General features: G+C 37.2%; 1 protein-coding gene across 55 annotated transcripts in view, besides 2 other annotated features; it reads right to left on the bottom strand.

Moving 5' to 3' along the window:
- The window catches only part of QTMAN (queuosine-tRNA mannosyltransferase), a 395,002-nt gene that overhangs the window by 359,626 nt on the left and 8,882 nt on the right, over positions 1-26,494 (bottom strand). For 3 of the 55 annotated variants that reach the window (NM_001376322.2, NM_001376310.2, NM_001354352.2), the window contains exons 2-3: positions 22,026-22,175; positions 19,786-19,895 (exon numbers count right to left, since the gene is read on the bottom strand). The exons of 49 other annotated variants lie outside the window; for them this stretch is intronic. The gene's annotated coding sequence lies outside the window, so the exon portion shown is untranslated. Of the gene's footprint in view, position 1; positions 22,176-22,869; positions 23,010-26,494 lie in introns of all 55 variants that reach the window. 3 more of the 55 variants (NM_001354351.2, XM_047445844.1, NM_001376311.2) reach the window with 3 other exon arrangements.
- Positions 12,768-12,837: an enhancer, noted in NCBI's record as "active region_16602". NCBI's record gives its function as "activates an Ori minimal core promoter by ATAC-STARR-seq in GM12878 lymphoblastoid cells {active_cell/tissue: GM12878}" and the evidence as "EXISTENCE:reporter gene assay evidence [ECO:0000049][PMID:35858748]".
- Positions 26,360-26,409: a silencer, noted in NCBI's record as "silent region_11992". NCBI's record gives its function as "represses an Ori minimal core promoter by ATAC-STARR-seq in GM12878 lymphoblastoid cells {active_cell/tissue: GM12878}" and the evidence as "EXISTENCE:reporter gene assay evidence [ECO:0000049][PMID:35858748]".

Genomic DNA, 26,494 nt, shown 5'->3' on the forward strand with positions numbered 1-26,494 from the left:
CCTCAGCCTCCTAAGTAGCTGGGACTACAGGTGCGTGCCACCACACCTGGCTAATTTTTTGTATTTTTAGTATAGATGGGGTTTCACCATGTTAGCCAGGATGGTCTCCATCTCCTGACCTCGTGATCCACCCACCTCGGCCTCCCAAAGTGCTGGGATTACAGGTGTGAGCCACAGTGCCGGGCTGGATTCCATCTCTTAAAAAAGAAAAAAAAAGTCTTAGATCATTAGGGAAAATTGAATATAGACTGTATAGTATACATTATTATACCAATGGTAAAGACCTCGGTGTGGTAAAAGTATTACGACTACATAGAAGAATATTTTAATTTTTTTTTTTTTTGAGATGGAGTCTCGCTCTGTCGCCCAGGCTGGAGTGCAATGGCGCGATCTCGGCTCACTTCAAGCTGCGCCTCCCAGGTTCACGCCATTCTCCTGCCTCAGCCTCCCGAGTAGCTGGGACTACAGGCGCCTGCCACCACACCCAGCTAATTTTTTGTATTTTTAGTAGAGATGGGGTATCACTGTGTTAGCCAGGATGGTCTCGATCTCCTGACCTCATGATCCGCCTGCCTTGGCCTCCCAAAGTGCTGGATTTACAGGCGTGAGCCACCGCGCCCAGAGAGAGAATATTTTAATTCTTAAGATAAACAAGCTGAAGGGGTAAAACGTCACTTTTGAATGGTTCAGCCCCATCCCACTGCCCAAAAGAGTATAAATACAATATATACCGTGGCTAAATGTTAATAACTGGTAAAAGGTATGGGGTGTTTATTGTATTGTATTGTTTCAACATTCCAATAGGCTTGAAATTTTACAAAATAAAAAGACTAGACCCAAATAACAATCAAAACTCCAAAGTACATGTAACATTAAATCTATGTTCTTCACTCAGCTGGGGCCTGCCCAGCACCAGCCACTGTCAGTGAAGGAAGGAACAGGATCCTCCTCATCTCACCAAATTTCTCTTCCACCATCTTCCTGAGTTTTCTGAGCCCACCAGGATCAAGGTCAGGAAAGGGAGGAGAGGTCAGGCATATAAGACAGTTCTTGATTGCTATCTGTAGCAAAATGATCTAGGGCTATGGCAGAGGGGATATGGCAGAGTGTTTAACGCTAATTCTTCCTCTCTTGGGGAGCTTATGTGCACTCTTCCAATGGTATACTCCTCCAATTGCAAATATCCTGCCAGAGACACTGCTCTCTCTCTCTGCTAAAAGCTCTTAATGCCTCCTTAGCTTCTAACCCCTGGTGGTACACAAACAGCCCATTACTGCTGGGATCTTCTTGCCCTGGCAGGAGACTTTTTTTTCAGCAGGATCCCCTTAAAAATGAGAGCAGGTTGATTTCCCTGTTGACAGAGAAGAGTGCAATTACTTCTCAAACCCAGCACTACTGCTATAGAACACTTCAGCTTTCCCAGGTATGAGTCAAGCATCAATATCCTGTGACCCCAAGATAAAGTTTAGTTGAAACTTCTCTCACTAGACTTGACAAAAGATTCAGAGACCCCTAACTTGTGGGAGACAAGGGTAAAACATACAGCACTCTGATGACCTGCAGAAAAATTCATCTAACAAAATCTTCCCCCCCAACACCCCCACTTTGATAGCCTCTATGTGAGTAAAGGGATTCAAATGTCACAAAACCAGCTTTCTATAATTCTGTATATGGTCTAGCACTTCCTTTGGATATAGAAGCATGTGTTGAATACTGGTGCCTCAATTCAAAGTTCCAGTGTATCACTCTGTTATCCGAGGAACTCTATTAATGGCGTATTCTCTATATATATATTTTGGAAACCTGTTGTGAAGGCTAAAAGTTTCTCACATGTAAAACTTACAGAACAGCACTTGGGCTCACAGTAAGCCCTTACTTAATGCTAGCTACTACTGTAATATAGAGTTCTCTTTTTTAATTTTTTAAAAATTTAAAAACAAGTGTTGGTAAGAATATGGAGAAATTGAAATCCGTGTACACTGCTGGTGGGAATACAAAATGGTGCAGCCACTATGGAAAAGAGTATAGCAGTTCTTCAAAAAATAAAACTATGATCCAGCAATTCCACTTCTGGGTATACATCTCAAAAGAATTGAAATCAGGGACTTGAACAGATTATTTGTATACCTACATTCATAGTAGCATTGCTCACAACAGCCAAAAAGTAGAAGAGTCCATCAGTGGACGAATGGAGAAATAAAATGTGGTATATGTATATACAATGTAATATTATTCAGCCTTAAAAAGGAAAAACATTCTGACATATGCTACAACATGAATGAACCTTGAAGACATTATACTAAGTAAAATAAACTAGTCAATCAAAATGGCAAATGCCGTATGATTCAACTTATATGAGGTACCTAGAGTAGTCTCATTCATAAAGACAAAGTCTGCCACGGACTGCCAGGTTGCCTGGGGAGTGAGTACCCACTGCCTAATGGGTACAGTTTCAGTTGAGGAAGGTGAAAAGCTTTGGATAAAGATGGTAGAGATGGCTGCACAACAATGGGAATGTACCTAATGCCACTGACCTATACACTTAAAAATGGTAAAAATAGTAAATTTTATGTTAGGTCCATTTTACCACAGTAAAAACTATTTTTTTTAATTATCTATAATTAAATGGCCAAATGATATACAAATTGTATGAGAAAAATATAAATGAACAAGCGGGGAAAAATGCTATTGCAAGCCACTATCCTATATCCAACAATCCCACTCCTAAATACACAGCCCAAAGAACTTACACATAAAACTAGTATTAAAATTGTGTACAGATGTTTATCACAGCATTATGTCTAAGTGGTTTTAGAAGCAATCCATTCATCCATTACCTGGATAACTTACAAAGGAACCAAACTATGTTTAGAAGTATTTAGCTAGAGATATACACCATAACATGTCTAAACTAAAAACAGTGTCAAAAGTGAAAAAAGAAAGCTTGAGGTCTGAATTTAAGATATACATAATATACGAACTGTTCTGTATTTTTCAAAGATATGTGCCAATCCAAGGTAATATGCCAAACACATGCAAGTCAAGGTCTACTAAGGGAAGCTGGGATAGGGGTGGAAAACAGGGGTAGGGATAGGGGTTAAAGGAAAAAAAATAATAACTCAAAACGAGAAAATGGTCTTGTCCAGCCTCTTGATGATTATATGTTATCAGCTAAGGAGGATGAGTAATGCAAATTTGTGAACCAGAAGCCCCCAAAATTTTTTGGTATTAACTATATTTCCTTTCCCAAATATCTGCAAGTTTTTACTCTGAGGCACTTTCAATTATATAGCATTTAATCTGACCATCTGTTTACCAAAGGCTAGTACATTGAAAAAAAGAAAGAAAATGGGTTTTTTTCCTAGCCAATTGCAATGCCAATGTTTTAATCTTTATTTAAAAAAATCTGATTAAAACCAAAAATCCTTCCAATAAACCATTTTTTACATTTCAATTACCATTACACAAAATACCACAGCTATGCAACTTAGTAAAAAAGATGTACCTTTTTTGTTTTGTCTTGTTTTTTTGTTTGTTTGTTTGTTTTGAGACAGAATCTCGCTCTGTTACCCAGGCTGGAGTGCAGTAGCATGATCTCAGCTTACTGCAACCTCCGCTTCCCAGATGCAAGTGATTCTCCTGCCTCAGCCTCTTGAGTAGCTGGGACTACAGATGCGCACCACCACGCCCAGCTACTTTTTGTACTTTTAGTAGAGACAGAGTTTCGCCTAGTTGGCCTGGCTGGTCTCAAACTCCTGACCTCAGGTGATTCACCCATCTCGGCCTCCCAGAGTGCTGGGATTACAGGCATGAGCCACCGCACCAGGCCTTGTAGCTTCAAGAAAATTAACAAACTATGAATTTCCATGCTGGTATTTATTTCCTAAATAGCATTTCCAAAGATGCAAATATCACAACCTGAATTCACAGAAGAAACTGAATCATCCATCTTATTAAACACGGGATCATGTACAAAATACAGCCATAAGAGGCTCTTTTTAAAAGCACATCCACTACCAATGCCCACATGCTTTCTGGAGGAAATGCAAGTATTAAACGCCAGGTTCCACAAACAGTGGCCTCAAAGCACTAATCAAGACCTCTGAAGGCCACTGCCACTCCTCCAGGAGGCATGTCTTCTTTATCTTTTCAGTGCCAGCACGGGCACATCATGGGTCCTCAAGAAATATTTTTTGAAGGGATGACCTCAGTAAATGGCAGTAGGTATAAATAAGTGGAAGAGTGTATAAAATTAAGCAATGACAACTTTCATTATCTGAAGGACTATCTGAAAATAGACTGCTCAGTCAGTGAAAGTTGTGCTAGGCAAAGCACATTTGGCCCTCCCTGACTTACACACCTAGCTATAAGCCTCTGAGAACCTTAAGGGGCCACCACACATCCAAGTGCTCCTCCTCTACCTACAATGGCACTCATCTCCACACTTAGGGCATACAGAAAATATCTGTCTACCAAAGTCATTGAGGGCTTACTTGTGTTTACCCCATGCCACCACAAATACTGCTTTTCCTCAATTATATATATATATAATTATATACATATATATACTCACACATATATGTCTGTGGACTAAAAGATATTAAGCTAGAAGAGTCATAAAATAAGTAAAAAGAAAGATATCGATTACACTGGAGAACAAGTGGGGTAACCAATAGATTGCCCATAGCAATCTCCCTGTCTTTACTGAACACTACACAGATGAAATGAACAGACCCTTTATTTCTATCTGTTCCCTAACTTAGAATTACAGCCATACAGAAAGGTGTATCTTAGGAGAGCATGATACTTAGACAGTGCACTCGTACCATAAACTTATTACCTCAAAAAGCCACACGGAAGATCAGGATACACCTGCCAAATTTATCTATAATTTCTATTTTAAAGGCTGTTTCAGTCAATATTCAATAGGTATTTACAGAACATCAACTATGCGCCAACTTCTAGGCCAGTCAGAACACCGGCCTATGGCAGAATCAAAGATGAGTACAGCATTTGATGGGCTTACAAAGTAGTAAGGAGTATTTGACAAATATTCAAGAACTATAACCTAGTAAGAAAACTAGTATCTGTAACCAGTAACTAGATCCTAGTAAGAAAAGCACAGTGCCGGGCATGGTGGCTCAGGCCTGTAATCCTAGCACTTTGGGAGGCCGAGGCGGGGGGGATCACTTGAGGTCAGGAGTTCGAGACCAGCCTGGCCACCATGGTGAAACCCTGTCTGTACTAAAAATACAAAAATTAGCCAGGCATGGTTGTGCACACCTGTAATGCCAGCTACTCAGGAGGCTGAGGAAGGAGAATTGCTTGAACCCGGAAGGCGGAGGTTGCAGTGAGCAGAGATCGCACCATTGCATTCCAGCCTGGGTGACAGAGACAGAGCGAAACTCATCTCCAAAAAAAAAGAAAAGAAAAGCACCACAATAAAGAAATGAGAGACTTTGAAGAATGGTGAAGCTTTTCACAGAGAGCACTGAAGATAGGCTTTCAGCAAAGGAAACGGTATTACCAAAGAAACAGAGGCTAGTAAAGTAATGCTGGCCAAGGCAGTGAAGTACTATGTTAAGTATAAAAACGTAGAATATGCAGACAGGAGACTTACTGGACAGGCCCTTAAGTACCAAGGTTAAATATTAAAACCTCCTTTTGTGAATAATGAAGATGATTTATTTAAAAAAAGGTTGTTTCAGGGAATAAGGGAGCCACTGAAAACTGAAATTGGCCTCAATATGGACAAAATACTGGAGGAGGAAAAGATAAATTAGGAAAACTAGGAGAGGAGTATTTTCAAAAGTCTAAAGCACATAAGTCTGCATCATAAAATAATTAAAAGAGAAGTCATCAAGAAAAGGGTGGAAAATGTTCAACAATTTTTTGTGATGAGATATGTATAAATAAAACACTTAGATACATGCAAAAACTTTTATTTTTTTCTTAAATTTCAATACTAAAAAGGGAGTAACAGGGCATTTCCAATACTGGCTTTGATTAACTAGCACCAGGCTTGCCCACTTCATACCATAATCAACCAGAAAATTTGATAAACATACAAAACAATCATTTTCAGACAGTAGACAATAATGGCAGCAATGAACTATGATCCCTAAAAGAAAGGGAAACCCTATGATTGCACCAGCTTTCTGCCTGGAGGCACTCTCTGCATCATGGTGGGAGACACTAAGTACATGGTGGTTCAGCTGAATCGCGGGAACAGATATCAGAGTTTTAGGAAGCCTGAGGTAGCTTAAGTTTATAAGTGTACAGTACATACGTAAAAGGAGCTAAGAAGAGGGAAAGCACCACATGTCTACACAAGGGTTCCATGTGTACTCTTCTGAGGAATATTCTAAGATTCCATGAGACTGGTAAAAGAACAAATATGAGAGAACAATAACAACACTTCCAAAAGGTCACAGAAGCCTGGAAGACAGGCAGATTTGGAATAGAAGAGTAGACGGACTTCGTTGACCATGCACAGCATTCAGCAGAGGATAAAGAAGAATCACACCTTAGAAATAAGATTAATTTACCTCTGTATAGTTTACCTCCTCTATTAATTTACCTCCTCTATAGTAAAGGATACTCAAAACAATCCTAACAAACAAAACTAGCCCCAAAAAGATCAAGCTGATTCACAAAGAACGTAAACTGCCTGCTAAAACTGAAACTCTTTTTTAAAAGACAGTAAAATCAAGACATTCAATAATGCAACATTTACAATCCCCATCAGCAAACCAAAAATTACCAGACATACAAAGAAGAAAAATGTGACTCATAACTAAGACAAAAATCAGTCAATAAAAAATAGATCCAGAAATAACAGATATGATGGAACAAACATACCAGGATAGCAAGTACACTAAACAATGAATATACTAAAACAGTACTTGACAATGTATTTAATAATTATTTTAATAGAAACAGGATCTCACTATATTCGCCAGGCTGGTCTTGTACTCCTGGCCTCAAGTAGGCCTCCCACCTCAGCCTCCCAAAGTGCTGGGATTACAGAAGAATTTATTTCTAAATGTAACATAATAATAAATAAAAGCTATTTTAAAAAGTAGAACTTCCAGAGGTAAATATAAACTTTATTTATAATTTAAAATACAAAGACGCAGATGAGAAATTCTGATTTGACTTGCATTTCACAACAGTAAATGACACTGAGAGCATCTATGCATATGCCTACTGTCTGTTGGAAAATTTCTATTCAGATACTTTTCATATTTTTGAATTGTCTTGATTATTGAATTGTAACAGTTCTTTATATATTGTGGATACAAGTCCCTTATCACAAATATAACTGACAAATATGTTCTTGCATGTTGTGTGTTGGTTTTTTTCACTTTATTTTTGATAGTGTCTTTTAAAGTATAAAGTTTTTAATTTTGATGAAGTCCAACATATTTATTTTTTCTACTGTCACTTGTGCTTTTGGTGTCTTGTAAAAAGGCTTTGACTAACCCAAGAACAAGTAGACTTACTCTTATGTTTTCTTTTAAGAGTTTATAGTTTTAGTTCTTTCATTTGGGTCCATAATCCATTTGGCATTAATATTTTAATATATAGTACATGAAAGGGGTCCAACTTTATTCTTTTGCTAGTGGATACACAGTTATCCCAGCACCATCTGTTGAAAAGACTATTCTTTCTTTATTAAATTGTCATGACACCCTTTAAAAATCAATTGAACATAAAAGTCAGGGTTTAATTCTGGGCTTTCAATTATATTCCAGTGACCTATATGTCTATCATTATACCAGTATCGCCCTGTTTTGGGTACTGTAGCTTTGTATTAAGTTTTGAAATCAAGAACTGTGACTCCTTCACTTTTGTTGTTCTTTTTCAAAGCTGTTTTAAAAATTCTGACTACCCTGAATTTCCATGTAACTTTTAGGATCAGCTTTGCCTTTTCTGAAGAAGAAAAATGGCAGCTGAGATTGCCTTGAATCTGTAGATCATTTGGGATAATACTGACATCTTAACAATATTAAGTCATCTAGATCCATGAACATGGGATGTCTAATTCTTTAATTTCTTTCAATAATTTTTGGTAGGTTTCAGAGTACCATTTTTTTACCGCTTATTTTCTTAATTTCTAGATGCAATTATAAATGGAATTCTTAATTTCATTTTTGTTCACTGCTAATGTATAGAAATACAATTGATTTCTGTATATTGCTATTATACCTTGCAAGCTTGTTGATCTCATTTATGAATTCTAATACATTTTGGTGATTCCTTAGGATTTTCTATATAGAAGATCATGTCATCTACAAATAGAGATAGTTTTACTTCTTTCCCATCTGGATGCCTTTATTTCTTTTTCTCGACAAATTGTCTTGGCTAGAATGTCCAATACAAAACTGAATAGTGAAAGCAACATTCTTGCTCTGTTCCTCTTTCACCATTAAGATGTTGGCTGTGGTTTTTACATAGATGCCCTTTCCCATGTTGAGGAAATTTCCTTTTTATTCTTAGAGTATTTTATCACTAAAAAAAGTGTCAGATTTTGTCAAATGCTTTTTCTGCATCTACTGAAACAATCATGACCTTTATACCAAAATCTGACAAAGACATTACAACCCTACTCCCGGGTTAGTCAGCTCAGGTTTCTATAACAAAATACGATATAGACTGGGTGGCTCAAATAACAGGAATTTATTTCTCACAGTTCTGGAGGCTGGGATGATCGAAATGCCAGCCTATTCAGTTAGCTGGTGAGGGCCTTCTTCCTCACTTGTAGATGGCTGCCTTCTCACTGTACTCCCATCAAAGAGAAAGAGTGAACTCTAGTTTTTCCTTCTTCTTCTAAGAGGGCCCCACCCTCATGACCTCACCTAAACTTAATTACTTCTCAAAGGCCTCAGTTCTGAATACCATTGTGAGTTAGCACGTCAACCTAAAAATTTTGAGGGAACACACACAGTCCATAAGAGCCCCCCAGAAAAAAAAAGCTAATAGGTCTCATAAACACACATCCACAAATCAACAACGCAATTAAGCAAATCAAATTTTGCATAGTAAAAGAATATATCCTCCATAGATAACATAAAACTCCATGAAAAAATGGAGTTTATCATAAAAATGCAAAGACAGGTTTAAGATTCAAAATCTAATCAATTCAATTCACCATATTAACAAGTGTTAAAAGAAAATACAAATGGCTGGGCGCGGTGGCTCAGGCCTGTAATCCCAGCACTTTGGGAGGCTGAGGCGGGTGGATCACCAGGTCAGGAGTTCGAGACCAGCCTGACCAACATGGTGAAACCCCCGTCTCTACTAAAAACACAAAAATTAGCTGGGCGTGGTGGTGCACGCCTGTAGTCCCAGCTACTGGGGAGGCTGAGGCAGGGGAATCACTTGAACCCGGAAGGCAGAGATTGCAGTGAGCCGAGATCGTGCCACTGCACTCCAGCCTGGTGACAGAGCGAGACTCCGTCTTAAAAAAAAAAAAAAAAAAAAAAAACAATTAAAAAAAAAAAAAAGAAAATACAAATGATTCACCCTATAGATGGCAAAAAAAAATATGAAAACATTCAACATTCACATGCAATATAATAAAAGCTTTCAGTATACTTAAAATAAAAGGGAACTTGCTCTACCTGATATGGTACATCTGCAAAAAACTTAGAGCTAATATCACACGTAACAGTGAAAGTCTGAATGCTTCCTCCCTGGGATTAGAAACAAGGCAAGGATGTTCACTCTCACCGCTTCTATTTAACACTGCACTAGTCTGTGCAATGTAAACAGTGTCCTACTCTGTGCTTTAACACTGTCCTCATCTGTGCTGTAGAAAAAGAGAAGTAACAGACACTAATATTGGATAGGAGTAACTGTCTTTATTTGTGATTAACAAGATCATATATAGAGAGCATCCTGAGGAATTCACACAAAAAAAGTCAAAAGCATTAATGATTACATTATCAAGGTTCAATATGTAAAAATCAATTCTAGTTCTGTATAGAAACAATGACAAACTGTAAATTTTTTAAATAGCATTTTCAATGGCATTCAGAAATATAATTCACGTCCTATTCACCTAGGACAAATTTAATAAAAGACACAAGAGATTAGCACACTGAAAACTACAAAACATTACTCAGAGAAATGAAAGAATAACTAAATTGAGGTATACTATATTCATGGTTTAGAATAATTCAATCATTTAGATGTTAATGCTCCCCAACCAATCCACTGAATTCACACAATGGAAATTAAAATTCCCAGAAGTATTTTGTAGAAATGTACAAGCCGATTCTCTAATTGATATGGAAATAGAAAAGACTTAGAATAGTGAAAACAATTTCAAAAAAGAACAAAAAGAACTTAAACCATGTGATTTCAAGACTTACTACTGAACAAACAGTGTTATGTTGGCATGATAGACATATAGATCAATATAACAGCACCCAGGAAAAAACCCACACATATATGATTGGTTGTTTTTTTTTTTTTTTTTTTTTTGAGACAGAGTCTCGCACTGTCACCTGGGCTGGAGTGCAGTGGCACAATCTCAGCTCACCACAGCCTCTGCCTCCCAGGTTCAAGCGATTCTCCTGCCTCAGCCTCCCGAGTAGCTGGGATTACAGGTGCCCGCCACCACAGCAGGCTAATTTTTTGTATTTTTAGTACAGACGGGGTTTCACTATGTTAGCCAGGTTGGTCTTAACTCCTGACCTTGTGATCCACCCACCTCAGCCTCCCAAAGTGCTGGGATTACAGGCGTGAGCCACCATGCCTGGCCATGATTAGTTGATTTTTAACAAAATTTCAAGGTAATTCAAAGGAAAAGAACAGGTGGATATAGAAGAGAACAAACCTTGATCCTTACCGCACACTATATATAAAAATTAACTCAAAACAAATCAGAGACCTAATGTAAAAGCCAAAACTGTAAAACTCTTGGGAGAAAACACAGAAAATCTTTTACAACCTGGTATTAATCAAAGATTTCTTAGACATTTGCCGGACGCGGTGGCTCACGCCTGTAATCCCAGTCCTGACTGGGCAACAGAGCGAGACTTCATTTCAAAAAAACAACAACAACAATTTCTTAGATATTACCAAAAAAAAAGAAAGAAAGAAAGCACAGACCACCAAAGAAAATGTTGATAAACTACACTTACTCTACAGACCAAGAGAAAACATCTAACAAGAACTTGTATCTAGATATACAAAGATATAAAGAACTATTGTAACTGAATGACAAGAAACAATCCAACGTTTTTTAATGGACAAAAGATTTCATCAGCTATTTCACAAAAGAAGTTATATAAATGGCCAATGAATAAATGAAAATATCAACATCACTGGTAATCAGAAAAATGCAAATTAAAACCACAAAGAGATACCAGTATACACCCAATAGAGTGTCTGAATTTAAAAGAATTATACCAAGTGCTGGCCAGAATGTGGAGCAACTAGAATTTTTTCATATATTGCTAGTGAGTATGATACAATCACTGAAGAAAATAGTTCTTCAAAGCAATTTCTTACAAAGTTAAGCATAAACTTACCATATAAAACAGTAATTTTACTATTGAGTAATCAACCCAGAAAAATTAAAGCCTATTTCCACAAAGGCTCGCACCTTGAATGCTCATGGTAGTGTCATTCACTATAGGCAAAAAAACCTGTAAACGCCCCAAATGTTCATGAACAGATACATGGATAAGCAAATTGTGAGCACATTTATACAATAGAACACTATTCTTTACTGAAAGGAACAAACTAATGACACATACAATAACATAATAAGCCTCAAAAACATCATGCTCTAAAGAGTATATAATGTATAATTCTATTTATTTGAAACTCTGGAGCAGGCAAAACGAATTCACAGTGACAAAAATCAGATCATTAGTTGCCTGGAGATGAGAATGAGGGAGGAGTGACTACAAACAGACACAAGGAAACTTTTGAAGTGATGGAGATGTTCTGTACCTTGATTGTAGTAGTAGTTACATCAATGTGTAAATCTGTCAAAACATTAACTTGTACATTTAAAATAAGCACATTTTACTATATGCAAATTATACCAATAAATATGATTTAATTAAAAAGAAGTAACATTCAGCCATTTGGAAATAGCATCATTCCCCAAAGATACAATAAAAGACAAATCAACCTAACTACAGGTTTAACCCCTAGGTAATAAATCTTTCATTGTCTTTTATCATTCAATCAATTATGCATTAAGTGCCAACTGTGTGCCAGAAACGACTCCAAGTCTGATGGCACAGGAGTAAACAAAACATAAAATACTTTGCACTCATCAAGCTTTCATTCTGAAAGAAAAAGGTCATAAAAAGTAAAGCAAAATATACGTAAGTTCATCTGGCAAAGAGCAAATGAGAAACATAAAGTAGTTGCAGGGAGAGGGACATTTTAAATAAGATGGCCAAAGAAGGTCTCACTAGAGATGCAACATCTCAAGACCCAAGAAAGATTAGGGAATAAGTTAAGCAGTCACCTGGGGGATGAACATTACAGGCAGAGGGAACAGCAAGCGCAAAAGCCCCAAGGCCAGCTATTCCAGAAACAATATGGTGTCAAACAGGAATGGGGGGTAGTAAATGGAGTCAAAAACTGAGGTATGAATGAAGGTTAGGTAGAGAGTCCAAAAAAGAGGTTGCAAAGGGGGCAATATCATATACAGCCTTATAAGCTACTACAAAGACTTTACCTTTTACATTAAGTGAGAAAGAAAACAAATGAAGCTTTGAAGAACGACAGGATTTAACTTGTTTTAACCTAAATATTCTGGATACTGCATTGAGACCAGACTGATGTGCTGGGTTTCAGGTTGTGAGAAAAAGCTGAGAGACCAGTCAAGAGGCTACTAAAATAATCCAAGTAAGAAATGACAGTGGCTTTGGCCAGGTAGTAGTAGAGGGAGTGAAAGGTGATAAGATTCAAATTCTAAATATATTTTCATGGTAGAGTTAACATGAACTACTGAGACAAACTGTGAATGTGAAAGAAAAAGAAGAGTCAGGGATGACTCCAACGTTTTTGGTTTGAGTAACACCAATGGACTTAGATGGCGAAGATTAAAGATGAAACAAGTTTGGGTAAAAAGATCAGCTCAGTTTTAAGTATTTGAAGATTTATATTCCTTTAAATATCCATATGGAGATGTCATAAGACAGCTGGATATGTGTCTAGAGTTCAAAGAAATAAAGATTTTTTTTTTGGCAAGTAAATCACTGGATATGATGGTATGTGTGTACGTGAAATTTTTAGGAAATAATCCATATTTGATTTTAATATATCAGGGCTTCAGCACTGAGACTAATGGATTGTTTGTGTGTTTTCTGATTTACATAAATCCATACAAGTCTGCTAGGCACTTCACACCTTTATTTTCACTTTCACATCTGAAGTATAGCAATATGGATAGATAAGGTGTGTATTTAAGATAATAACATGAACAGACACATTCCTGGAGCCATAGCTATTTAAAAGTGACACTAGCATCAAGATACTCATTCTTATTCTAGAGAGAGCTTTAAAAAACAATCACTTGTTATGAAACTAATTGCTCTGCCAAGTGCTTCTTAGGATATGTAAAAATCATCATCTTCTCTACATTTTACTGTTTTAAATCAGGGAAAGTAATAGGCTTTGTGATTAGACTTAGAAGTTTGGTTTTGATGCTTATAACCATCCAGGTACTAAAGTGAGTAACGTTTCCAACTTGATAATGCACGCTATAGCTCATAAAGGAAGACACATTGCGCATCACTAGAGAACTGCAAAGATGACATAAAAATACCAAGATTCAACTGGAATTATAACATGGGCAAGCAAGCTTAATTGATGGTTGAAAGCATTATTTAAAAAGTAAAATTATCATTTTCCAGTGTGAATGAGAATTACTTCTCAGTCACCCATTTCCATGGCTTTGTTTATTCCCTCATGCCAGAATGCCTCTCTTCCTACTTGATATCCTTTTGTTCTTTCAAGATCCAGCCCAAAGTTGGCCTCCTCCACAGACTCCTCTGAACCCCAGTGGTATTCACTGTTCTTTCCAAATTCCCATAGTACTGCCACTTACACATTTAAAGTACCTATGTCATTCTGCCATGAATTAACTTCAGCTATTTACACTAAAGCAGAAGCTCCCTGAGGACAGAAAACACCACAGCCATCTTTGCCTTTCATGAAATGCCTAGAACAGTACCTTACATATTCTGTTTAAGCACTTACTAAAGGTTTATTCAACTGAACAAAAATCCTATTGAACTAAAAAACTGGTCAAGTGAACTGAACTCAATGGAATATATGCTTTCAAACATATTTCTCTGGATCTCACTTCCCCATCTCTCAAAACCCCAGATAAATTCCATTATTTCTCAGTCACTCTCAAGTGACTTCACAGCAGAGGGGTCATCAGTTACAGCAAGCAAAAAGGTGACCCTTCCATCTTTCATAGTCCCCTATTGTGGGAGTTACATTCTTTTTTTTTTTTTTTTTTTGAATAAAGACAAGAGTCTCACTATGTTGCCCAGGCTGGCCATAGACTCCTGGGCTCAAGTGATCCTCCTGCCTCAGCCTCCCAAAGTGCTGGAATTACAGGCATGCAGGCATGAGCCACTACACCCAGCTGGGAAATACACTCTTAGGCTAACCTCCCATTATCCCGCCCACAGTCCCTTCACATGGCAAGCAGCCCTCCTTGGCAGGATCCATCCAGATAACTCAAGTCTGGTTACCTCCCACCATGACCACTTGCACGACAAAAAAAGTCATGCCTTCTTAACCATACAAGATGGACACATGCAGACTCCTCTACCTACTGCTCTCTCACTCAACATGCCATCTCGACTGACGCCAGTCATTCTCCTCCCCTCCAGGAACAAGTCTATGTTCAAGTGTGCTCCCAACTCTCAGAAATGTTACGTGATATGGTTAGGCTTTGTGTCCCCACCCAAATCTCATTGTAATTGTAATCCCCAGGTGTCAAGGGAGGAACCCAGTGGGAGGTAACTGGATCACTGGGGTGGCTTCCCCCATGCTATTCTCATGATAGTGAGTGAGTTCTCCTGAGATCTGATGGTTTACAAGTGTTTGGCAAGTTCCTCCTTCACTCACCCTTCTCTCTCGCCAGCCACCATGTAAGATGTGCCTACTTCCCCTTCCACCATAACTGTAAGTTTCCTGAGGCCTCCCCAGCCATGCAGAACTGTGAGTCAATTAAACCTCTTTTCTTTATAAATTACCCAGTCTCAGGTATTTCTTTATAGCAGTGTGAAAATGGGACTATGATCACGTTTTCTCAAAAACTCTCTGGAAGGTGCCACTGCAGCACAAGGAAACAAGATTCTGCAGCTCATTAAACATCCAGACAAACTACATATCAATTTACACTTCTGGCAGACAAATCCAAATCCTGGGCTGGAAAAAAAAGGTCCATTTGGGGAGAAACAGGGAAATGTCACAAAACTAACTCCCCACTAGATTAACAGCTCCATCGGAATGACACTTTTAATCTCTCTTCTAATTTCTCCTATATGCGGGAAACAGGTGTTGAGGGTGAACCAAGTCTATTCTCTTTTACTAAGCCCCACATCCCTCTTTAGAAAGCAGGGTTACTTATTACCCTTTGGTTTCAGCTTTGGAGCTTTAGCAAAAATACTGAAACAAACAATTCCTAGTCATCATTCTATTATCAAAAGTGTATAATTCCCCTACATTTACCACTTACCTATTATGAGACCTCTCATTTTAAGCAACTCAATGTGAAATACAGATTTACAAAAAAATGAGGGGGAAAGCTACTGACTAAACATATCAAGGAAAAAGAAAAAAGGAGATTCTTCATCTGGTCATACAAATTTTACCTTAAAGATTAGTATTATTCATATTTAATTATATATACATTTCATGAAGAGCCAACTGTTTACAATGGAAAATGTCCACATTAGAATTTAGATTAAAACATGCTACCTGCAAAATGAAAATGAAAAATTCTGTGCAACCAACCAGGTCAATAACTGCATATCTACTTATCAATAATTTCATATATACTTAATCAATCTTATTATCATTAGAGTTTTTTTTTTTTAAATAGATATATCTTTAAAATATACTAGATTTCAGCTATTACATGAAGAATACTCCTACAGGCTCTCTGGCTTTGTAAAAATCATTTAGTACAAACCAATATTCTTGGTACAAAATACAGACATCTACAAACTTGAACTAACAATGCATGGTAGAAATGGGTATAACCATTTAGGAAAAGTTATACATATAAAGTTATATATATAATTATAAAATTAAAACATAGCAATCCTATCAAAGAATAATTTCACTCAGGTATTTAACACAGAGAAAATGGAATACATGTTCATAAAATGACTTATACAAAAATTCTGTTTATAGTGATATGATTTGCAAGAGCCAATAAATAGAAAAACAGTCAAATGCTCATTAACTGAAGAATGGTAAACAAATTACATAAAATAAAACACTGCTCAGCAACAAAACAGAATGAACCACTAATACATGCAACAACATGGATTAATCTCAAAAACATTATGTTGAGGAAAAGAAGTCAGATACAAAAGGGTATATACTCTATCATCTCATATATATGAAGCTCAAGAACAGGCTAACCTAATCTATGGAAATAGAAATCAGAACACTAGCTGTCTGTGGGGAGATGAGGAAAGGGAAGGCCTGATAGAAACAGTGCATTAAGGGGGCCAGACGCAGTGGCTGAAGCCTGTAATCCTAGCACTTTGGGAGGCCAAGGCTGGCGGATCATGAGGTCAGGAGATCGAGACCATCCTGGCTAACACAGTGAAACTCCGTCTCTACTAAAAAATACAAAAAATTAGCCGGGCATGGTGGTGGGCACCTGTAATCCCAGCTACTCAGGAGGCTGAGGCAGGAGAATGGCGTGAACCCGGGAGGCAAAGCTTGCAGTGAGTGGAGATAGTGCCACCGCACTCCAGCCTGGGTGACAGAGTAAGACTCCGTCTCAAATAAATAAATAAATAGAAACAGTGCGTAACGGAACTTTTAGGGATGATAAACTGTTCTATTTTTTGAAAGTGGGATAGTTAACATGGGTGTACACACATGTCAAAATTCACTTAAAAATTGGTTCACTTTATTGGACATAAATTATACTCCATAAAGTTAATTTTAATTTTTATGTATTTATTTATTTTGAGACAGGGTCTTGCTCTGTCGCCTAGGCTGGAGTGCAGTGGAGTGATCTCGGCTCACTGCAACCTCCACCTCCAGGGTTCAAGCGATCCTTGTGCCTCAGCTTCCCAAGTAGCTGGAATTACAGGCACGCACCACCATCCCCGGCTAATTTTGGTATTTTTAATAGAGATGGAGTTTCACCATTTTGGCCAGGCTGGTCTCAAACTCCGACCTCAGGTAATCCACCCGCTTCAGCCTCCCAAAGGGCTGAGATTACAGGCATGAGCCATCGCATCCGGCCCATAAAGTTAATTTTTAAAGTCACATCTGATACCTTACTTCTCGAGGATGGCAAGGATAGCCAGTTAAAGTGTAATCTCTTGCCCAAAAGCTGAAAATAATATGGATAATAATCATAACAAACTTATAGCCTAAGTCAGATTCTAAATCAGAAATCCAAGTCACCCAGTATCATAAGATACAAGGATAAGTCCAGCCTATAGAAATATCCATAAATGTTCCCAGAACAAATGGGAACAATCAGCATGTCTTTTCTTGGGAAGCCATTACCTGAACTAGCTGGTCACCTTTGACCACCATAAGATAGAAATACAACTTCATATTAAAGGTCACTTGTTCCTTCTTATCCAGTATTTTCTCTGTCTCCTGGCAGTCTTTGAGCAGCTCACTCACATATTTCAGTAACATCTATTTCTAAATCACTTTTCTGCTCTCTCTTTCCAAGTCGTCTCCCTCTTTGAGAAAAACTTTCTAGGACTATTGTACTCTTGAATAGCCCTCCTACTTCTCACCTCTGTCCAACTGTCTTATTTGTTTGCCTATGATCTGTTTGCCTTTTTACTTTTCTGTATTTTCAAACAATTAGAAAAGTATTTTTCACTCTAACATTTTGAGTTCATGATTTCATTCATTTTTACCTGTCCTGTCTTCATTACCACATCCCACACCAAGGTGCCACAGTACTCACATTTAAGCTCTGCCATGACACTATCACCTTGGCTGTGCTTTACTTCACTCCCCCTGGGGGACAAATAGCAAAGCCAAATATCCCACATCATTTTGCTCTATATCTCAAAAAACATAACCAGATCATCTGACTCCAACACCCTACTGCACAGTTGCCTTTTGTATTTAAAAATGCTAGCCTAGGCAACATGGCGAGACCTAATCTCTACAGAAACTAAAAAAATTAGCTGGGTATTATCACATGCCTGTGGTCCCAGCTTCTCATGAGGCTGGGACGAGAGGACTGCTTGAGCTCAGAGGTTGAGGCTGCAGTAAGCCATGTTCACATCACTGCACTCCAGCCTGGGCAGAGTGAAACCCTATCTCAAAAAAAAAAAACGCTGCTGCTAAGGCCTTGTTCCTAACCAAATGGGTCCTTTCCAAGAAGATGATATTTTGTTACAGAGCTGCATATATCTGCTTGTAAAGCCTGTAAACATTTACAGTTCTTATTTTAATGAGCTTCATGATACCATTATCCAGTTATCATCCCTGCATCCCAAAATGTTTGGTAGTCAGCTTTGTATCAGATGACTGCTTGAACCAGTCCTCTTTCAAGTACTTTTCTACAGATTCTATTTGGAGGTGATCCAATTCAGCTTATGATATATAGCAGTTTCTTTGGTAGCTCATGATCACCTGCCCTCCGTATATGAGTTTTGTACCATGGCATCACTTACACCTGAAAGTGCAGCTATACAATACTTTACTAATAATAAAGGCAACCCATTAGATGGTTGAGTTCTAGTGTCCAGATACAATATTCGCAAATATGTCACTGCTTCTCAAGAAGGCTCCAATGTCATTCTACAACACTAACATGAAGTCATTCGTGTTAAAAGCTGTTAATCTTAAAATCTCCCTACATGTATGCTGGCCTTTCAGATTTCTTTTCTATTCACTAATAACTTATCAGACAATCACCAGAAAGAAAAGGTCTCTGCACAAAATGAGCCACTAGCTGTATGATTCTCTATTTCAATTCTTACTCTAAGACTTTGTATACACCATTTAACTTGTTTCCTCATAAGGAAATTGGGATAGTTGCACCTGTTTCAAGATTTTGGAAAGACAGAATTTATGCAAAATGTCTTACTCAATGTCTGGCATACTGGAGACTTACTAAACAGTTCATAATGATAACAAGCCACTGTATTCCATTGATATACTTACTCTAGCACCCTTTTCAATCCAAAAATAGAGTGTTCATCTATGATCTTACTATCTATCACAACACATTTAGATCTCATTCTCCCTTTTATACTCCACTCATTTCCCAATGTCTGGAATAGCCTCACTTTCTCCATTCAAAAAATTACCTCTGACTCTCTTTAAAGAAAAGCATTTTAACCAGGGATTTTGAGGTTGGAGGGAAAGGTGGTTAGAAAGGGACCCATTTAAATAGTCACTGCTATACTAAAATGAATAAATTGGTATGCAACAAGATCTTCAAGGGGAAGGAAGGAAGGAAGGATGGAAGGAAGGAAGGAAGGAAGGAAGGAAGGAAGGAAGGAAGGAAGGAAGGGACAATAAAATGAATACAGCAATGTATACCTACTACACCCTTACCTTACATTAATTTTTCTCCAAAATGTTTTCTGGAGTCCACGAATGCCAGGATCACTGCCTTCCTCATATCCTATAAATATCACGACTAAATGGGTCCTTTGTAAAAAACACTGGAGAAAAAGATAAAACTGATGAATTCTCAAGGCTTTCCAAATCCCAATGTTTTGTCATTTCAGAAAGCAATTTATGAGAACTCATCAGACAAGGGAGTGGAGGAGAATAAAGCTAAATACTCTTCTGACCTGATACAAAACTAGTTTTAAACATCTGGATTTTTCTTCTTGATTATATTCAATAAATCAATTAATGGCTCAAGAACCATCTAAAAGATGCTTTTTTTTTGCAACTGTGTTCTCTAATTCAATTAAATGGCACTATGCACTCTAAAATGAACAACTTTTTTATACTCACTCTTATGAGATGGCTCTCAATTTTAATATAGACAGGTAAACTTAAAATAACTTCAAACTATCAATCTATATTTATGTATTCATTGGCATTATTATATTTTGAAAATGGTTTGCCTTAAAAGGAAAAACATAAACTGCAATCTACAGTGTTCTATTCATCGTCCCTTTCCCCTTATTGAAGGCCTCCAGAAAGGCCACAATGGACTTCTTAAATAGAATGGGATATCAATGTTAAAAACCACGTATTTCTTATTAAATTTACCTTATCTATAAGGTAAAAAGGTGCCTGCTGCTCTATTTAAATAAACACACACACACACACACACACACACACACACACACACAAATTGTGGTCCTTCCTAAAGTGACTTGTATTTGAAAATGGCAAAGCTTTCCAAATATTAATCACAGTAATTCCAAATTCAGTTCTCAAGGTAGTTCAATTATGGCACAATAAATGAATGATGGCATTTAATTCAAAATCTCTGAGTTTTAGAATCCAGAACATCCCTTTCATTCCAGATTCAAAAGAGTTTAAGGTATTCAAATGCTACAACACACCTGTCTTTCAGTTACAGGCATTGCTTCAATGAAAAAACAGCTTAAAAACCATGAAATGAAATCAATTCCACATAAAGCTATTGTAAGATTCTGATCTCTAATCTGACTTGTAAATTAGATGTGTGCAACTTCCACTATCCAGCAACCTGCAGATCTTTTTCCTAGCAGGATGGCGATGTTAGTTGCACTGCACTCTGACCAAAAACATGCAGTGGTGGCAGTGGCACACTGAAAAATTGAATAGTATATCCTTTGAATAAAGATTTCAAGGTAAGTCATGAAGGAAACTTTACTGTTTGTTGATGAACTGTATATGCTATATAAAAAGTAATCTATGGTTTATATCTAGGCTGTAGAGTTTTTGTTGAATGCTAAGATTTAAAAATGTTGAAGATTCACTGAGGGAAAAAAATGGGATTCAACATTGAGAGAATCCATGCACCTCATTTCCCAGCACTGCTTTCAAATACTCTATTACTGGTATAAATAGTATACCAAAAGTAAGGACTCTCAACCAAATAAAACATCAATTTGGTTCAGAGAATACTTTGATGTTCCAATTTCTTCTGATTCAATACTTCTAAAAAACAAAAATACATAGGTTTATTTTCAGTTCATACCTGCTTGCCAAATCATTTTAAGTGAATTTAATTTAGTTGATAGGTCTAAAAATATTAATTTATGAATTCAACTGTTCTATGGACACTAACACCATACAGTGTGACTCTTTACTATTGAAGAGTCCACTGAAAAGGATGTTTTCCTAGAAAATTCTGAGTATAATAGCTTTTTGCAAATAGAAACATTTTAAATACTCTAGATGAAGGCAAAATTTCAAGAATCCTCCAGGCAAACACTTCCACATGAAAATCATAGTCCTGAAATTAACCCTTTTAGTCAACAGATGTTTTTCTTTACTGTATTTCCCTTACAGTGAGATAACCCAATACTAAAAGGTGATAACTATATGAGTTTCATAGATATAAGATCTTTAAAGCTTGATTACCAAAGGAATTACATTATGGAATGATAATATAATACACATTCCCCAAGTAAAGCTCAAATTTACTTCAACCACACCAACCAATACCACCAAAATTTTTTTTCATTTATATATATATATATTTTTAGTCCTGAAGTCCTTGGAATCATAGTAGGGCTTGGTGCCATACTGGTGTCACACTCTGCCAGTCATCCAAAGAATATGCCACACTTCTTTTTCAACTCCTTTGTCTACCAGTGCATCACTGGACCCAGCAGGCGGCTCACCCAGACAATTTCAGTAACGGATTTTGGCTCTCTGTGCATAATAGATGGCAATCCTTAGGAAGTATCCAGTTTGTCTCATAGCTGAGAGATTTGAACCTGCTGCAGATGTCACATATAAATTCTTGGATGGATTTTTATCATCAGTGTCACCTATAAAATAAGACAGTGTCACCAACAGCATCGTCCTATAAAACATCTATTTCAGCACTGCTAAGCTTTCAGCATCATGACTGATAGTAATTTATTTGCCTGAAAAGGGTCAACAAACTATTGCCTGGGCACTAAAATCCGGCATGCAACCTGTTCTTGTATATCTATGATCTAAGAATGGGTTTATATTTGTAAATGGTTGAAAAACCAGATTTTTTAAGAAGACTAATATTTTGTGACATGTGAAGATTATATGAAGCTAAATTTCCACTTCCATAAATAAGGCTTTATTGGAACATGGCTATATTCTTTCATTTAGGTATGCTTCTACAGCTACTTTCAGGCTATAGTGGCCAACTTGAGTAGGTGCAACAGAGTCCATAGGGTCCATAAAGACTAAAATAGTTACTGCCTGGTCCTTCCAAGGAGAAGTTTGCAAACCCCTGGCCTAAATTATTTTTTTGGTGAGTAGGTAACATGATACCTAGTGTATGTCACATGAAGAACCTAAGTGGAAAGACTATAATGTTTCCCTGTCTTACTTCTATCCATTCAACTAACAAGTATTTGTTTGGCCAGACCTGTTACTACAATGCAGACAGCTCTAGTCACTTTGGTCTCCCTTTTGGCTCAGTTTTGCCTCAATCCAAGGGGTTAATATTGACTTTGGGCAGGAAGAGGACAAGGAGCTCACCTTCAGGTCAAATTCCAGTTCTCCAACTTTGGCCTGCTCCATGTCCCCAAACTCTCCTGGTTCTGAATTTCTGCTTTATATCAACCATTCTCTGTAATGGACTTCCTGTACTAGACATCAGTCTAGTCTGGCAGTATTTCCTGCCAAAGACATGTGGGCAAGGGGCTGAGTCACGGCATTCTTTGAACTATGCCAGCTGATCATCAGTTCTATGCCTGCTCTAACAGCCATCCTGCATGGTGGATTTGTTTTGGGCACCTTGTGAACAGTCTGCATATTCCAACACTCCTCTTGGCTTCCACTGTTCCTCCTGGTTATGATTGCCCCTGAAGTTCATCACTTTCATTTTACATTGAAACTTCTGGCCAAAGACTTGTTCAACATTCCCAACTGGCCTGTCTTTTTGTTATTTGAGTTCAGTTCATATAACAAGAGACCAAGAAAATTTTATCTATATAGATGGATTTCCCAACTTAGAAACACCCAACTTAAAACATCTCTTATGTTTTAGCATCTGCTCCAAAAGAGAATATATCACCCCCCACAACCAAGTAGTATCCAGAATATCCGTTTTTTCCCTCCAACACTGCTAGTTGGCCCAAAGTTTCTATACTTGCTTCATCTGAAAGCGTTACCTATCACCCACCACCCACGTGGGATGCCCAAGATATCTGTGTCTCTTGAGCATTGCTTCAAAACGCCTCTCTTGCTGTCACTAAAGCTTTAACAACCCTGTTTCTGTTGTGAGGGAAAAAGAAGAGTTTCCTGCCACTGCTGGACTGCAATGGAGGAATGTGTTTGGCTAGATTTCTAGAAGTCAAAAGTATAATTCCACACAAAAAGATGTTAATTAGTCCATAATGAGGCTGAAACACTCATACTATTAATGGCACTACAGAACCCATCTGTAATTCATATTACATTGTTGCAGATAGTTAATTCACAAACGCAGTCATAAATTGTAGATTGACGGTACTAGAAAATAGCTTTAAAAATGTCAGGACGGATTAGCGTATGGACTTCAAAGAAAATTGGTTTATTATTTGTTTATTTGATTAAGAGACAGAGTCTCACTCTGTCACCCAGGCTGAATACAGCAGCACAATCATAGCTCACTGCAGCCTCAAATTCCTGGGCTCAAGAAATCCTCCCACTTCAACCTCCCAAGTAGCTGGGACTACAGGTGTACACTACCACACCGGGCTAATTTTTTTTTTAAATTTTTTGTAGAGATGGGGTCTGGCTATGTTGACCAGGCTGGACTCGAATTCCTGGGCTTAAGCAATCCTCCTGCCTCTTCTGTAAAGTGAGAGTCACTACAACCCTGAAGTAATCTGCCATGGTGAACAGCTCCAAAACCACAGGTATACCTCACAACCAATAGAGTGGTATCAAGTGTGAACAGGCTGACAAGAATGACCATTAACTGTATCTCAATTTGGTATGGCAACCACATAGGTAGCATCCATTTTAAAAACAAAAACCTTCTTACCCTCTGAATATTTGGAAAATGTCACAGTAGTCCACTGATACATTCTTATAACCAGAAAAAGAAACTAGAGGCATGTTAAGTCCATATTCCAAAGGAATACCCAAATGATTAAAACTTCAGAACTTTGTTCATTTGATGAATCTGGCCTTCTTTCCTTAAAGAAAGAGTTTTCAATCTCTTTAGTCAGGACCACTTTGTGTTCTTAAAAATTAGTGAATACTCCCAAGAGCTTTTGTTTATGTGGCTTGTAATGATCAACATTCACCGTATTAGAAATTAAATGAGAAAAAGTTTAAGTATTTATCAATTTATTTTAAAAACTTAGTAAGATAACATATGTAATAAGACAATACATTTTAGGAAAACAAAATGTTTTCAAAACAGAAAAAAGCTTTCAAAAACAAAAAAGCTTTGTGTGAAAATTATGTTGTTATAAAAGCTTTGCAAATTTCTTTCATGCCTAGCTTAATAGAAAACAGCTGGATTCTCATATTGGTGTCTACATTCAATCTGTTGTGCTATGTTGTTTTGATTGAGCAACATGAAAAAAAAAATGGCCTCACACAAATATGTAGTGAAACGGAAGCACATGTATTAATAGCCCATTCAGATAATTGTAGATGTTCTTTTTTGATACTACACCAAAACTTGACAAGTAGGAGTTTCTTAAGGGTTAGTCGAAATATGGAATCTCATATATATGAACTCTTTGTATTCTGTTACTTGCTTTTTGAAAAGATCTTTCACCCATAATTTTGTAACACTGGTCCCTTTGAAAATATTGGCTCACTGAGTTATACAGATATTACAAATCTTGACACAATTCATCATATAATAGCAAAAACTCACATTCATAAAAATCACCACCCATCATCTCATCAGGAAAATCTTTTAAGTACTGGGAAGCTGACAATAGCACAGCAGGTAACACAAGCTTTCTAAAATTTTAATTTTCACTTGAAAGTTTGAATTTTATCATTGGCAACAAACTGTCAGTTGTTTTCCTTGAAGTGACAGGCTCACTTTGTTCATTTTCAAGAAAATGACTGCCAAATTTCTAAGTCTAAATAGTCACAGTTTGGTATTCATTCTTTCAAGTAAAAATGATGCTTCATGCAAAATTTGGCTAGTTTCACTAGCAACTCAAAAAGAAAAATCACATATGGATTTTTCCTCTAGACAGGCAATGTACTCTGGATATGCAGCAGAAATGCTTTTTGCACATTTCGTATCTCATCACAGCAAATATTAAAACAAAGTATGCTTAAGGGTCAAAATTTAATCAATTAGCAATTGTTATCACTTCTTCAAGGACATTCTTAAGTGAAAGTGGCTTTTTCTTTTTTTCTGTGAATGCACAGCTGTGAAGAATACCATGATTACTAGGTACAGTTGGGTCTTACTGCCATTTAATTTCTAGAATGCTTAGTTTCATCGATCATTGCTTTTACAACAGCAGGGCAAATGTCAAAGCAGTAGAAAAGGCAAAAAGTTAGCGTTACTATGATAATGGTTTTTACCTCATGGACACTCCTGAAAGGGTCTCAGTGATCCCTAGGGATTTGTACGCCACAATTTGTGAACTGTTATCTTAAGGAAACACTAAAAGCTATGAATAAGTCACCATCCCCAAATCCACAGTGAATATCCCCCATATAATAAATATACTAAATATGTGTATGAATTCTTGAACTCAAAAATTGGTCTAATTTGTTTATATAACAACAGCAATTAATATTTAGTGAGCACTTACATGTATTATCTCATTTAATCCTCACCCTAAACCTATTAGTTAGCTGTATACTTATGCTACAGATAAGGAAACCTGTGATGAAGAAAGGTGAAGTTACTTGTCCAAGGTCACAACAGCAACTATCAGTATTTATTGGGTTCAGGCATAACCAAGCATTTTGCATACCTTCCTCTTAAGTCTTCACAACCACCTTTTTATTGTCCTTATTACCCTTTATTGTTCTTTACATCTCTATTCTTTAAATCTTCATTAGTAGTTTTACAGACTAAAACTTTGAATCAAATAGGTAAAGTATCCTGCCCAAGGTTACCGAAGTGGAAAGTGATGAATCATCCAATACAAGTCTGTCTGACTACAGAATACAATACATACTCTGCCTT

The sequence above is a fragment of the Homo sapiens genome, chromosome 2 (assembly GCF_000001405.40).
Source record: "Homo sapiens chromosome 2, GRCh38.p14 Primary Assembly".
Classification (NCBI taxonomy): domain Eukaryota; kingdom Metazoa; phylum Chordata; class Mammalia; order Primates; family Hominidae; genus Homo; species Homo sapiens.